This window comes from Homo sapiens, chromosome 16 (assembly GCF_000001405.40).
Source record: "Homo sapiens chromosome 16, GRCh38.p14 Primary Assembly".
Lineage (NCBI taxonomy): Eukaryota > Metazoa > Chordata > Mammalia > Primates > Hominidae > Homo > Homo sapiens.
The window spans coordinates 29,407,265-29,423,925 of record NC_000016.10 but is presented as its reverse complement, the minus strand read 5'-3'; positions in this window follow the sequence as shown (position 1 = coordinate 29,423,925).

The following is a 16,661-nucleotide window of genomic DNA, read 5'->3' as shown; positions in this document are numbered from 1 at the left end:
GCCTTCAAATTGGATTGTTCCCAATGTCCAGAAGAAAAAAAAAATTTAGAAGAGACCCAAATCAGAAAACAAAAGTTGGGCTGAATTCAACGCGAATTATTTTCTAGCTCAATATTACTGCTTATGTCAGCTGAATTTCAGCCTTTCAATAACAGCTAGTCAAGTATTTTTTTAGTTGGTTCCTATTGATCATCATCTTATTTTAGTGGAATCCATTATATTGAAGATGTCAAGTTCCTCATTTCCCATACAAAGAATGTGAGATTCATCTTTCTTGAATCTTAGCTGCTAAGTGTTTAAGGGGACTTTTGGCATCTTTTCAGGAGGACTATAATTGGGCCCTCTAACTAAAAAGTCTCCTATGCCCCTTACATAAATGAGATTTTTTTTTTTTGACCTTGTACCCACCAACATTGGTGGGAGGCTCAGAAGGGACTGTGTTTGTAACTTTGTAGCACTTTCTAAACAGTGACCTGTTGTGTGGGCGTTATAGGACAGACCGTGGGGTGGGGCGGGGGATGGGGGAGGTGGACAAATGAGGTCTGGATGAGAAGTGTGACCAGGCGTGTTTGACTCATGCCTGTAATCCAGCAGTTTGGGATGCTGAGGCAGGAGGATCACTTGAGCCCAGGAGTTTGAGGTTACAGTAAGCTATGATTGTGCCACTGGGCTCCAGCCTGGGTGACAGAACTAGACCCTGTCTCTAAAAAAAGAAGAAGAGGTGTGTATCCTTCTAAATGATAAAACAGATCACTCCCCTGCTTACATAAAACTTTCCGGTGGCTGGCCAGGCACGGTGGCTCACGCCTGTAATCCCAGCACTTTGGGAGGCCGTGGTGGGCAGATCACAAGGTCAGGAAATCGAGACCATCCTGGCTAACGTGGTGAAATCCTGTCTCTACTAAAAACACAAAAAATTAGCCAGGTATGATGGCATGCACCTGTAGTCCCAGCTACTCGGGAGGCTGAGGCAGGAGAATTGCTTGAACCAGGGAGGTGGAGGTTGCAGTGAGCTGAGATTGCGCCACTGCACTCCAGCCTGGGTGACAGAGACTCTGTCTCAAAAAAAAAAAAAAAAAAAAAAATTAGATGGGTGTGGTGGCATGTGCCCGTAATCCCAGCTACTGGGGAGCCTGAGGCAGGAGAATCGCTTGAACCTGGGAGGCAGAGGTTACAGTGAGCCGAGATTGCACCACTGCAGTCTGCCTGGGTGACAGAGCTAGACTCTGTCTCAAAAACAGAAAAACAAAAAACAACTTTCCAGTGGCTTCTCACTGCTCTGAGAATAAACTCCAGGCTCTTCCATTGCAACCAACAGGATCTGTTGATTCGACCCCAGCCCCTCTTTCCAGGCCCTCATCACTTTGATCCTCTCTTAACCTATCCTGCTCCAGCTGCACTGGCTGCCTTCCTATTCCTCCAGCATACCAAGATTGTTTCTGCCTCAGGGCCTTTGCATCTGCTGTTCTCTTCGCCTGGACTCCTCTTTGTTCTTTTTTTTTTTTTTTCTTTGAGATGGAGTCTCACTCTGTCGCCCAGGCTGAAGTGCAGTGGCGTGATCTCGGCTCACTGCAAGCTCCGTCTCCTAGGTTCACGCCATTCTCCTGCCTCAGCCTCCCGAGTAGCTGGGACTACAGGCATCCACCAAGCCCGGCTAATTTTTTTGTATTTTTAGTAGAGACAGGGTTTCACCGTCTTAGCCAGGATGGTCTCGATCTCCTGACCTCGTGATCCGCCCGCCTGGGCCTCCCAAAGTGCTGGGATTACAGGTGTGAGCCACCGTGCCTGGCCATAGAGCAGTCTCTTCCTTTTCCTGTTGGGTCTCTGCTCAAATGTCATGTCAGAGAGGCAGACCTCTGGGGCGGTCTATCTGAGGGAATGCACCCATCTCCCTTCCTCTGACCAGTTAGTTACCTTGCTTATTCTTTCAAAGCTCTTACCACCACCTGAAGTCATCTATCTGGTTTGGTTATTTTATTGTTTAGTAGCAGTCTTTATTTTATTACTATTTTTTTTTTTTGATGTAGTCTCACTCTGTTGCCCAGGCTGGAGTGCAGTAGCATGATCTCGGCTCACCACAACCTCTGCCTCCCAGGTTCAAGCGATTCTCCTGCCTTAGCTTCCTGAGTAGCTGGGACTACAGGCACGTGCCACCATGCCCAGCTGATTTTTGTACTTTTAGTAGAAACGGGGTTTCACTATGTTGGCTGGTCTTGAACTCCTGACATCAAGTGATCCGCCCACCTCGGCCTCCCAAAGTACTGGGATTACAGGCATGAGCCACCACGCCAGGCTGGTAGCAGTCTTTCCTAGAATGTGGATGCCCTGGAAAACAGGGGCTCTGCCTTGTTTCCCTAGAACCTAGAATGGCATCTGGCACACAGCAGATGCTACATGTATTGTAAATGAATGAATGAAAGAAGTGTCCTTGCAGCCACTCTGGCAGCCGTAACATAGTGGTTATAAATCTAGACTCTGGAGTCTCAAGTGCAAATGTCATTGGCCTCTCCTCCAGCCTCCTCAAGGGGCACTCAATGAAAGAACCTGGAAGTGCCCTGATATGACTGTGGTTGGACTGACATGACTGCCAGATGGTGGGACTTGGTCTGGAGCAGAGACTACTTGGAATGGTAGAGGCAAAACTCAACAGCCCCTGGAGCTGCGCTTGTGGTGGAGCTGGACCCTGATTTTAGCTGGACCTTGTTTTTAGAGACAGGGTTTCCTTCTGCAGTCTCAAACTCCTAGCCTTGATTGATCCTCCTGCCTTGGCCTCCCAAAGTGCTGGGACTACAGGTGCATGCAACCACACCTGGCTAATTTTCTTCTTTCTTTCTTTTCTTTTTTTTTTTTTTTGATGGAGTCTTGTTCTGTTGCCCAGGCTGGAGTGCAATGGTGCCATCTCGGCTCACTGCAACCTCTGCCTCCTGGGTTCAATCCATTCTCCTGCCTCAGCCTCCCAAGTAGCTGGGACTACAGGTGTGTGCCACCGTTCCTGGCTAATTTTTGTATTTTTAGTAGGGACGAGACTTCATCATGTTGGCCAGGCTGGTCTCGACCTCCTGACCTCAGGTGATCCACCCACCTTGGCCTCCCAAAGTGCTGGGACTACAGGCACATGCAACCACGTCTGGCTAATTTTCTTGAGTTTTAGTAGAGACTGGGTCTCGTTACGTTGTCCAGGCTGGTCCCGAGCTCCTGAGTTCAATCGATCTTCCTGCCTTGGTCTCCCAAAGTGCTGGGCCTACAGGCGTGAGCCATCATCCCCAGCCCAATTTTTGTATATTTTGTAGAGACACAGTCTTGCTATGTTGTCCAGGCTGGTCTCAAACTCCTGGGCTCAAGGGATCTTCTTGCCTTGGCCTCCCGGAGCACTTAATTACAGGAATGACTGCATGTGCTGTTGTGCCTATACTTTCTGGAGATACGTTGTTAGGAATTTATGTAGTTGGCCGGGCACTGTGGCTCATGCCTGTAATCCCAGCACTCTGGGATGCTGAGGCAGGTGGATCACCTGAGGTGAGGAGTTCGAGACCAGCCTGGTCAACATGGTGAAACCCTGTCTCTCCTAACAATACTAAAATTAGCTGAGCGTGGAGGCACATGCCTGTAGTCCCAGCTACTTGGGAAGCTGAGGCAGGAGAATGGTTTGAGCCCAGGAGCAGAGGTTGCTTACAGTGAGCCAAGATCATACCATTGCACTCCAGCCTGGGCAACAGAGCGAGACTCTGTCTCAAAAAAAAAAAAAAAAAAAAAAGGAATTTACATAGTTGAACAACTATTCTTTGGACATCTTTTAGTCCAGTAGACGGTGTTAAACTTGAAGACAAATAACGATTTGACCTGTGATATTTGTTTTTCCCTCTTATCCTCTAAGCCCATTCATCCAGATCATTCATCACCTTTAAAGGCATCCCCAGAGGGAGGCAGGTCTGGACAGAGCTGAAGATTGCACAGGCCATTTGCAGGCTGGATTCGTTCTGTGGTGACCCACCTGTCTGACTCGAGTTATTTTTTTCCCATGTCTGGACAAGACTGACCTCTGCCCAGCAACTCAGGCCTGGATTTAGTCCAAGGGCCCTCAGTGGCTTTTTTTGTTTGTTTGTTTTTTCAGGAAGTGAAGAATTTAGAGGGATAAAAGGCGGAAATAACTTTTCAGCCTCTGACCTTTGTAACAATCTGGTTTCCTTTTAAAGGAGCATTGTTTGGGCCTGGGGCCACCTAGACCTTCTGATGCTCTTTCCCCACCCTTGGAGGAGGAGGAAAGGAAGAAAATGGGCCCTGAGCGATCACCACATACCAGGCCCTGGGGGTCTAGTGGCGAAGGAGGCAGGTAGGGTCTCTGCTTTCATGGAGCTTCTAGTCAAGCGAGACACACTAAACAGTAAAGGGACAAATAGGATTACTGGAGGTAGCCCTAACTACTGGGACAGAAACAAGATGGTAAGATAGAGAAGGAAGAGTGGCCTGCTCAGATGGGGTGGTCCAGAGGCCTCTCGGGGGAGGTGACTCCTTTTTATTTTATTTTTTTTGAGATGGAATCTAGCTCTGTCGCCCAGCCTGAAGTGCAGTCGTGTGTTTCATGCGCGTCCGTGTGAAGAGACCACCAAATAGGCTTTGTGTGAGCAACATGGCTGTTTATTTCACCTGGGTGCAGGCGGGCTGAGTCCGAAAAGAGAGTCAGCAAAGGGTGGTGGATTATCATTAGTTCTTACAGGTTTTGGGATAGGGGGTGAAGAGCCATGTTTGCAGGCAGGGGTGGATCTCACAAAGTACATTCTCAAGGGTGGGGAGAATTACAAAGAACCTTCTTAAGGGTTGGGGAGATTACAAAGTACCTTCTTAAGGGTGGGGGAGATTACAAAGTACATTGAAGAGTTAGGGTGGGGCAGAAACAAATCACAATGGTGGAATGTCATCAGTTAAGGCTATTTTTACTTCTTGTGTGGATCTTCAGTTACTTCAGGCCATCTGGATGTATACGTGCAAGTCACAGGGGATGCAATGGCTTGGCTTGGGCTCAGAGGCCTGACAGTGTGATCTTGGCTCACTGCAAACTCTGCCTCCTGGGTTCAAGCAATTTTTGTGCCTCAGCTTCCCGAGTAGCTGGGATTACAGGTGCCCGCCACCATGCCCAGCTAATTTTTGTATTTTTAGTAGAGACATAGAGTTTCACCAGATTGGCCAGGCCGGTCTCGAACTCCCGTCTCACGTGTCTGTGTGAAGAGACCACCAAACATGCTTTGTGTGAGCAACATGGCTGTTTATTTCACCTGGGTACAGGCGGGCTGAGTCCAAAAAAGGAGTCAGCAAAGGGTGGTGTGATTATCACTGGTTCTTATAGGTTTTGGGATAGGCGGTGGAGTTAAGAGCAGTGTTTTGGGGGCAGGAGGTGGATCTCATAAAGTACATTGTCAAGGGTGAGGAGAATTGCAAAGAAACTTCTTAAGGGTGGGGGAGATGATAAAGAACCTTCTTAAGAGTGGGGCAGATTACAAAGTACATTGATCAGTTAGGGTGGGGCAGAAACAAATGACAATGGTGGAATGTCTTCAGTTAAGGCTGTTTTCACTTCTGTGGATCTTCAGTTGCTTCAGGCCATCTGGATGTATACGTGCAGGTCACTGGGATATGATGGCTTAGCTTGGACTCAGAGGCCTGACATTCCTGTCTTCTTATGTTAATAAGAAAAATAAAACAAAATAGTGGTAAAGTGTTGGGGTGGCGAAAATTTTTGGGGGTGATGTGGAGAGATAATGGGCGATGTTTCTCAGGGCTGCTTCGAGCGGGATTAGGGGCGGCCTGGGAACCTACAGTGGGAGAGATTCAACTGAAGAAAGATTTTGGGGTAAGGGCTGATACTGTGGGGTTGTTAGAAGGAGCATTTGTCATATAGAATTATTGGTGATGGCCTGGATACGGTTTTGTATGAATTGAGAAACTAAACAGAAGACACACGGTCCGAATAAGAGAAGGAGAAAAACAGGTATTAAAGGACTAAGAATTGGGAGGACCCAGGACATCCAATTAAGAGAGTGCCCAAGGGGGTTCAGCATAATTATTTGCTTGGTTGGCAAGTTTTTGGACTCTATCCTTGAGTTTTTTTATGTTGTCATATACCAGGCCAGAGTGATTTAGGTAAAAACAACACTCTTCATTTAAAAATATACAGAGTCGTCCTTTTTCAGCAATGAGTAAATTGAGGCCTTGGCGATTTTGGAGGAAAGAGAATTGCAAAGCCAGCAATTGTTTCTTTTTTTATTTATTTATTTACTTATTTTTTAAAATTATACTTTAAGTTATAGGGTACATGTACACAATGTGCAGGTTTGTTACATATGTATACATGTGCCATGTTGGTGTACTGCACCCATTAACTCGTCATTTACATTAGGTGTATCTCCTACTGCTATCCCTTCCCCCTCCCCCACCACACAAGAGGCCCCAGTGTGTGATGTTCCCCTTCCTGTGTCCAAGTGTTCTCATTGTTCAGTTCCCATCTGTGAGTGAGAACATGCGGTGTTTGGTTTTTTGTCCTTGTGATAGTTTGCTGAGAGTGATCGTTTCCAGCTTCATCCATGTCTCTACAAAGGACATGAACTCATCCTTTTTTATGGCTGCATAGTACTCCATGGTGTATCTGTGCCACATTTTCTTAATCCAGTCTATCATTGATGGACATTTGTGTTGGTTCCAAGTCTTCGCTATCGTGAATATTGCCGCGATAAACATATGTGTGCATGTGTCTTTATAGCAGCATGATTTATAATGCTTTGGGTATGTATCCAGTAATGGGATGGCTGGGTCAAATGGTATTTCTAGTTCTAGATCCCTGAGGAATCGCCACACTGTTTTCCACAATGGTTGAACCAGTTTACAGTCCCACCAACCGTGTAAAAGTGTTCCTATTTCTCCACATCCTCTCCAGCACCTGTTGTTTCCTGACTTTTTAATGATCGCCATTCTAACTGGTGTGAGATGATATCTCATTGTGGTTTTGATTTGCATTTCTCTGATGGCCAGTGATGATGAGCATTTTTTCATGTGTCTGTTGGCTGCATAAATGTCTTCTTTTGAGAAGTGTCTGTTCATATGCTTTGCCCACTTTTTGATGGGGTTTGTTTTTTTTCTTGTAAATTTGTTGGTGGTCTTTGTAGATTCTGGATATTAGCCTTTTGTCAGACAAGTAGATGGCAAAAATTTTCTCCCATTCTGTAGGTTGCCTGTTCACACTGATCCTAGTTTCTTTTGCTGTGCAGAAGCTCTTTAGTTTAATTAGAACCCATTTGTCAGTTTTGGCTTCTGTTGCCATTGCTTTTGGTGTTTTAGACATGAAGTCCTTGCCCATCCCTATGTCCTGAATAGTATTGCCTAGGTTTTCTTCTAGGGTTTTTACGGCTTTAGGTCTAACATTTAAGTCTTTAATCCATCTTGAATTAATTTTTGTATAAGGTGTAAGGAAGGGATCCAGTTTCAGCTTTCTACATAGGGCTAGCCAGTTTTCCCAGCACTATTTATTAAGTAGGGAATCCTTTCTGCATTTCTTGTTTTTGTCAGGTTTGTCAAAGATCAGATGGTTGTAGATGTGTGGTATTATTTCTGAGGGCTCTGTTCTGTTCCATTGGTCTATATGTCTGTTTCGGTAGCAGTACCAGGCTGTTTTGGTTACTGTAGCCTTGTAGTATAGTTTGAAGTCAGGTAGCATGATGCCTCCAGCTTTGTTCATTGGGCTTAGGATTGTCTTGGCAATGTGGGCTCTTTTTTGGTTCCATATGAACATTAAAGTAGTCTTTTGCAACTCTCATCAGCCCAGTTTAATATTACCTATTTATTATAATGTAATGCTGCTCGCACAACTGAGAAAACACTGTTGCTTTACCCCCTCCAGCTCTGTAGCAGCCACGCAGAAATCATAGAACTGTAAACACATGCTAATTACACAACCTATGTAGACAATCAATATTAAGAAAAATTTTTACTGCCCAGTATTTCTGTGGTTGAAAATGTAGAGTCTAATTTTGATCCACAGTAACATCTAGGTTAATGTTGATTCAGAAGGAAAACGTTTGTTGTTGCCATGAGAAGAGGCATTGAAATGCTGAATCACCATCACAAATGTTACCACTATTAATATAAGGAGATACATAGGAAGATGGAATTAGACCATCTCGGACCACCAGGTTTACAATTCCACCTGCAGATACATGCAAGAAGTATTGTCACAATACTTATGTCACGTTATTCCGTTGAGGTCATCACCAACTAAGCTTATCATTAATGTGTGGTCAATTTGGTCAATGTCACCAGCATAACATACTAACAAAAACAAGGGCTGCAAACTCAAATGCCTATAAGGCAGAACGTAAGACGGTAGGAAGCAAAGTCTATAGGGAGCTATATAATAGAGGCTGCAGATTCATGGCAGATTCTAAAGCACAGCAGTCCCCAACATTTTTGGCACCAGGGACCGGCTTTGTGGAAGACAATTTTTCCACAGGCGGCAAGGGATGGGGCGCAGGATGGTAATGGTCTTGGGATGAAACTGTTCCACCACAAATCATCAGGAATTAGATTCTCATAAGGAATATGCAACCTGGATCCCTCGTGTGTGCAATTCACAACAGGGTTCATGCTCCTGTAAGAATCTAATGATGCTGCTGATCTGACAGGAGGCAGAGCTCAGGCAGCAATGCAAGCAATGGGGAGCAGCCAGAAATACAGACGAAGCTTCAATTGTTACCCACCATTCACCTCCTGCTCTGTGGCCCAGTTCCTAACAGGCCACAGACCAGTACATGTCCATGGCCCAGGGGTCAGGGACCCCTGCTGTGGCACATTGCTAATAGAGGACTGTAGCAGCCATGTGCCCTGACCTTTCCTTTTTTTTTTTTTTTTTTGAGATGCCAGAAACCCAGAATTTTTTTTTTTTTTTTTTTTTTAAGACAAGGTCTGGCTCTGTTGCCCAGGTTGGAGTGTAGGAGGGCGATCTCAGCTCACTGTAACATCAACCTCCCAGGCTCAAGCAATCCTCTCACTTCAGCCTCCCACGTTGCTGGGATTACAGGCACACTCCACTACACCCAGCTAATTTTTTTGTATTATTTGTAGACATGGGGTTTCGCCATGTTGCCCAGGCTAGTCTGGAATTCCTGAGGTCAAGCTGTCTGCCCATCTCAGCCTCCCAAAGTGCTGGGATTGCAGGAATGCACCACCACACCTGGCCTGAAACCCAGATTTTATTTACTTATTTATTCATTTTTTGAGATGGAGTCTTGCTCTATTGCCTAAGCTTGAGTGCAGTGGCCCGATCTTGGCTCACTGCAACCTCCACCTCCCTGGTTCAAGCGATTCTCCTGCCTCAGCCTCCCAAAGTGCTGGGATTACAGGCATGCAACACCACACCCAGCCTGAAACCCAGATTTTTAATATGAAATCAAAGTCTTCAAACCTTGTAGGTGTCATAAAAAGCACGCTGAGGACCACTAGTTTGCAACTGCCAATCTAAAATATCATAGACATTATATCACTTTAACCACGAAAAAAAAAGTATGTGAGGCAGAAAATGGAAGCAACCATGCCTAATTTATTGTTGAATACTTTTTCCGTATACCAAGAGCTTCCTTTGCACTAGCATCTGAAACTATATCCAGAATGACACTGGTTTTCATAAAAGTGTTGATCCTCACCTCTTTATAGTCTTGCACCTAGCACAGTGGAGTGAAACACTTTAAATAGCACTTGTTCCTTGAGTATATATGGAAAAAAGTGAAGTATTGATAAGTGTTCAGCTAATATGAGCAGCATCTCAGGAGTCTCCAATTCTTGAATTACCAGGGAGTATTTTTACCATTTTCCCCCAGTGAAAGGCCTATTTTGAGAGACTTACCCTCCAAAATGAATGTATTAAGTCATGTTCCTTTTTTTTTTTTTTTTTTTTTTTTTGAGACAGGGCCTTGCTCTGTTGCCCAGGCTGGAGTGCAGTAGCATGATAGTTACAGGAAAGGGGTCCCAATCTAGACCCCAAGAGAGGGTTCTTGGATCTTGTGCAAGAAAGAATTTAGGGTGATGCCACAGTGTGAAGTGAAAGCAAGTTTATTAATAAAGTAAAGGAGGAGGGGCACGGTGGCTCACTCCTGTAATCCCAGCACTTTGGGAGGCTGAGACAGGTGGATCACGAGGTCAGGAGATCAAGACCATCCTGGTTAACACGGTGAAACCTCATCTCTACTAAAAATACAAAAAAATTAGCCAAGTGTGGTGGCGGGCGCCTGTAGTCCCACCTACTCTGGAGGCTGAGGCAGGAGAATGGGATGAACCCGGGAGGCGAAGCTTGCAGTAAGCCGAGATCGCCCCACTGCACTCCAGCCTGGGTGACAGAGGGAGACTCCATCTCAAAAAAAAAAGAGAGAAAGTAAAGGAATAAAAGAATGGCTACCCCATAGACAGAGCAGCCGTGAGGGCTGCTGGTTGCCCATTTTTATGGTTATTTCTTGATGATATGCTAAACAAGGAGTGGATTTTTCATGCCTCCTCTTTTTAGACCATATAGGGTAACTTCTTGATGTTGCCGTGGCATTTGTAAACTGTCATGGTGCTGGTAGGAGTGTAGCAGGGAGGATGATGGGAGGTCAGTCTTGTCTCCATTTTGGTTTTGGTGGGTTTTGGCCAGCTCCTTCACTGCAACCTGTTTTATCAGCAAGGTCTTTATGACTGGTATTTTGTGCTGACCTTCTATGTCATCCTGTGACTTAGAATGCCTTAACCATCAGGGAATGCAGCCCAGTAGTTTCAGCCTCACTTTTCCCGGCTCCTATTTAAGATGGAGTTGCTCTGGTTCACACACCTCTGACATGATCACTGCCCACTGCGGCTTCCACCTCCTGGGTTCAAGAGATCCTCCTGCCTCACCCTCCCAAGGTGCTGGGACTACAGGTGTGTGCCACCACGCTCAGCTAATTTTTGTATTTTTTGTAGAGACGGTGTTTTTCCATGTTGCCCAGGCTGGTCTCAAACTCCTGGGCTCAAGCAATCCTTCTGTCTCAGCCTCCCAAAGTACTGGGATTACAGGCATGTCCCACCATGCCCAGACTAATATTTACTTTTAATCAGACTAAGATAGGGTTACTACTTGAGTTGCTATGGCTCCAGCTGAAAGAAAGCCTGTGCAGTCATATCATGCATGAACATTTGCTTTATGCTAAAAATATGGTGGACCTGGCATTACAGCTATTACAAATCTCCTAAGGTGTCTCGGGTAGTGTATTAGTTACTTTTCATACTGCTATGAAGAAATACTCGAAACTGGGTAATTTATAAAGAAAAAGAGGTTTAATGTACTCACAGTTCCACAAGGCTGGAGAGGCCTCAGAATCATGGTGGAAGGCAAAGAAGGAGCAAAAAGGTATGTCTTCCATGGCAGCAGGCAAGAGAGCACGTGCAGGGAAACTGCCCTTTATAAAACCATCAGATTTAGTGAGATGTATTCACTATCACGAGAACAGTATGGGAAAAACCTGCTCCCATGATTTGATTACCTCCTACCAGGTCCCTCCCACGACACATGGGGATTATGGGAACTACAATTCAAGATGAAATTTGGGTGGGGACGCAGCCAAACCATATCGGGTAGCAACAACCTAGGGTCAGTTTTGCAGGTGGTAAAGCCATTTACCAAGATAGTTGTAGGTAAAGAAGGGCAGATTTATTAGAGAAATTATGAAAATATGTTGCAGTGGGCAGCTCAGCAGAGAAGGGGCTACCTGCAAAGAGGCAGGGGCTGGAGGAAAGTTTTATAGGGTCCTGCTGAAGGGTGCTACGTGTGGAATGAGGTCATTGTGCCCGCAGGTTGTTTGTGATTAGCTGTCTCTAACAATTGTTCATACAGTAATTGTTCATTATTGTTCTCAACTTGGGGCTCTCCCCAACCTGGGGACCCTTCCTTATTGTTGCTTACTTATCAGGACTCCACATAAGGGTGTGGAAACTTCATTCATTCATATCTTCAACACAAATTGTAGGTAGCCTGTTTTTTAAAACATTTATTCAACAAATATTTAGTCCAAGCCACTATTACTTATTACCTTCTCTACTATTGTATGGACTTTTAACTATCTCTGACACTATTCACTATTCTTCCACATTCTCTATTATTTATACCTATGGTAAAATTTGCCAGTTTGACCATACAACTAATACTCACAGGGAATATATAGAGTCTAGAAGAAAATATACAGGTCCTTAAAGGCTGCCCTGCCAACAAAACCATAATGCAGGAACAAACATCACAACTATGCCAAATAATCAATCCTACAATGTCCAAAATTTTACTTTAAAACTGGAATTTCCAGACTTCCTTTCTGCATTAACCAGTTTAAATAGACAGTAACGAAATATTCCTCCTACTTTATGCTGTGATAGTTTATTTATTTATTTATTTATTTGAGACAGATTTTCGCTCTTGTTGCCCAGGCTGGAGTGCAGTGGCACGATCTCAGCTCACCACAACCTCCACCTCCGAGGTTCAAGCGATTCTCCTGCCTCAGCCTCCCGAGTAGCTGGGATTACAGGCATGTACCACCACGCCCGGGTAATTTTGTATTTTTAGTAGAGACGGGGGTTTCTCCATGTTGGTCAGGCTGGTCTAGAACTCCTGACCTCAGGTGATACCCCTGCCTCAGCCTCCCAATGTGCTGGGATTACAGGTGTGAAGCCACCGCGCCCGGCTGCTGTGACAGTTGAGATGTAAACCAAAAATAAAATTCTAAGCCACCCAATCCGACTGAATGGACCCTTCCTGTTGAGCAAGGACATTCAAAAGTAAACTGAAAAGACCAGCTTAGGTCATGATGGGAAGGGGAGGTGTCAACATGCCTCATTCTACCTTCCTCCCTCTGGAATCCAGACACAACTGACCAGCATTAACATTAAAACAGAGATCTTAAGCTGGGCACAGTGGCTCATGCCTGTAATCCCAGCACTTTGGGAGGCCAAGGTGGGATCACCTGAGGTCAGAAGTTCAAGACCAGCCTGGCCAGTATGGTGAAGCCATGTCTCTACTAAACATACAAAATTAGCCGGACATTGTGGTGCACGTCTGTCATCCCAGCAAGGCAGGAGAATCACTTGAACCCAGGAAGCAGAGGTTGCAGTGAGCCAGGATCATGCCATTGCACTCCAGCCTGGTCAACAGAGCGAGACTCCGCCTCATTAAAAAAAAAAAAAAAAATTAGCCGGGCGTGGTGGCGGGCACATGTAGTCTCAGCTACTAGGGAGGCTGAGGCAGGAGAATGGTGTGAACCAGGGAGGCGGAGCTTGCAGTGAGCCGAGATTGTGCCACTGCACTCCAGCCTGGACAGAAATGCATTTCATAATGCATTTTAATTGCATTAGCAGTGATTTCATTTTTTTAGATGCTAAAACTTATGGGTGAAAGTGGATTAAATGTAGCCAAATGCAACATCAAAATCTTCAGGCACAAAAACCCATTAACTTTTTCATACTCTCAGAAGATGAACCTAATTTCAAATGAAAGCTGCCTCCAGAATATATTAAGCGTATTCTAGATACAATTCATTTTGGCAAACATGCTGTAGAAATTCACATAACATTTTACTGTACTAAAAGTAAATTGCCCATGTAACAAAAAATATCTTTTCAGAGCTTCAAATGAATTTTAAAGGATGACTGATGGTCCTTGGAAGAGAAACAGTAAACAAATAAGGTTTCTAGCAATGATGTATGAGTTAGAAATTGCAGTTCCAGATGATCTCTTTATTAAAGAGACGATCTACACTTAATTTGGTCAACTGTTATGAACATAGTTCATGTTAAGTCCCCATTTAAATACAACCTGAAATACCAAAGTTAATTTTCTTTTCTTTCTTTTTTTTTTTTTTTAGACAGAGTCTTGCTCTGTTGCCCTTCCTGGAGTGCAGTGGCATGATCTCGGCTCACTGCAACCTCCACCTCCTGGGCTTGAGCGATCCTACTGCCTCAGCCCCCCAAGGAACTGGGAGGACAGGCGCAAGCCATGGCACTCAGCTAATTCTTGTATTTTTTGTAGAGATAGGGTTTCACCATGTTGCCCAATTTGGTCTCGAACTCCTGAGCTCAAGTGATCCGCCTGCCTTGGCCTCCCAAAGTGCTGGGATTACAGGCATGAGCCACCGCGCCTGGCCAGAAAATTTTAAACACACACAAACTCTCAAGTGGCCTAATTCCCTCTCACCAAACCAATCACAATACAGATAAAAGAGAATAACTTGTATTCATTTTTGTACAAACAAAAAAGATATAAATCGTGAATGATGCATGATTTTTAATTACAGGTAAACTGGGCAAATGCTTCTGTATTATTTAAAGCTAAAAGGTGATCAGTGGAAACTTTCCTCTGTTAGTACTCTAATACTTTTTATATTTATCGGCTCACTACAACCTGTGCCTCCCAGGTTCAAGCGATTCTCCTGTCTCAGCCACCTGAGTAGCCGAGACCACAGGCACGCACTACCATGTCCGGCTAATTTTGTATTTTTAATAGAGACAGGGTTTCACCGTGTTGGCCATGCTGGTCTTGAACTCCTGACCTCAACCGATCCACCTGCCTTGGCCTCCCAAAGTTCTGGGATTACAAGCGTGAGCTACCGCGCCCAGCCTTATTATAATTGTTACTATTTAAATCTCTTTTGCTCTCTCCTTCAAGAGAGACCTCATCCCATTCAGTTGCATCCATTTATTTATTCATCTTCTGCCTCCTGGGCTCGAGAGATCCTCCAGCGTGAGTCTCCCAAGTAGCTGGGACTACAGGCTCACACCACCATGCTTGGCTAATTGTTGTAGGTTTTGGAGAGACAGGCTCTTGCCACATTGCCTAGGCTGGTCTCAAACTCCTGGGCTCAGATGATCCACCGGCCTTCGCCTCCCAAAGCACTGGGACATGAGCCACCACGCCCAGCCGCAAGTACTTTTACACAAAATGCAAACACTATTCTTCCATCGTAAAAGTGATACCACAGCTTCTGTGAAGTTTTGCCAGGTGTAGTACTCATAATTACCTTGGGTAAACTTTTTGATGTTAAACTGTATCTTCTTCTTACAAGTTTTTCCATTGTATTAACTGCTTTTACAACAACACAAATAACAAGTTATTTTACAAACCATTTAGAAATTTCTGTACTATGGTCCCAATAATGTAAAATATATTAATGCCTATTACATTCAGATAAATTATACCCTTGGAAACCACATACTTATGACTTACAGAAACTTACATAAATAAATTATAGAAATTATATGCTCAATTTTTAGGTATATAGTCTTAAATTAAGCTTAAATATACATTCTCAAGATAAATTAACAGTTCAGGGCTTCACAACTTGAAATCTGTGGAAGATGACATTGGAGACAACAGAACTGTGGTGGAATTCTTAGATGGAATTTGCTGAAACTTTTTTTTTTTTTTTTTTGAGACGGAGTGTCACTCTGTCGCCCAGGCTGGAGTGCAGTGGCGCAATCTCAGCTCACTGCAAGCTCTGCCTCCTGGGTTCACGCCATTCTTCTGCCTCAGCCTCCCGAGTAGTTGGGACTACAGGCGCCCACCACCACGCCTGGCTAATTTTTTATATTTTTAGTAGAGATGGGGTTTTACTATGTTAGCCAGGATGGTCTCGATCTCCTGACCTTGTGATCCACCCGCCTTGGCCTCCCAAAGTGAAACTTTTCTTTAAAATAGAGATGGGATCTTGCTGTATTGCCCAGACTGGTCTCAGACTCCTTGCCTTAAGCAGTCCTCCCACCTCAGCCTCCTAAAGTGCTGGGATTACAAGCGTGAAGCATTACATCCAAGTGAAACTTCTTGAGATAGTTACATAATGTTTAAATCTGCTGGTGTACAAGTTAATAAAGTGTAGAACTGAATAAATATTAAATATTAGATCAAGTTTCTCATGTTTACCTTAACGTATAAAGATTTATCTTAAAGCACTGATTTTCACAAAATAACATCAGTGTGAAATTGGAAAAGAAGCCAAATATTTTATTTCATGTATCGGGGAAATGAGGTGCTTTAGTCAACTGAATCTGCCCAAAACTAAAAAGCATTAATTAAAAAGTACTTAACTCGCAAATTATAAAAATAGGAGACATCAATAAAATACATTCTACACAGAATATGCCAACCATACACTGCTCTTTTTTGATAATAAAAAATGTATTTACTGAGCCAGTTGTAGTGGCTCACGCCTATAATCCCAGCACCTTGGAAGGCCAATGAGAGTGGATCAGTTGAGGCCAGGAGTTTGAGACCAGCCTGGCCAACATGGCGAAATGCCGTCTCTACTAAGAATACAAAAATGAGCCGGGCACGGTGGCACACACCTGTAATCCCAGGTACTCTGAAGGATGAGGCAGGATAATTGTTTGAACTCAGGAGGTGGAGGTTGCAATGAGCCGAAATCATGCCACTGCACTCCAGCCTGGGTGACAGAGTGAGTCTCTGTCTCAAAAAACAAAAAAAAAAGGAAAAGAAAAAAAGTCAGTTGCAGTGGCTCACGCCTGTAATCCCAGCACTTTGGGAGGCCGAGGCAGGTGGATTACAAGGTCAGGAGATGGAGACAATCCTGGCCAACATGGTGAAACCTCCTCTCTACTAAAAATGCAAAAATTAGGCT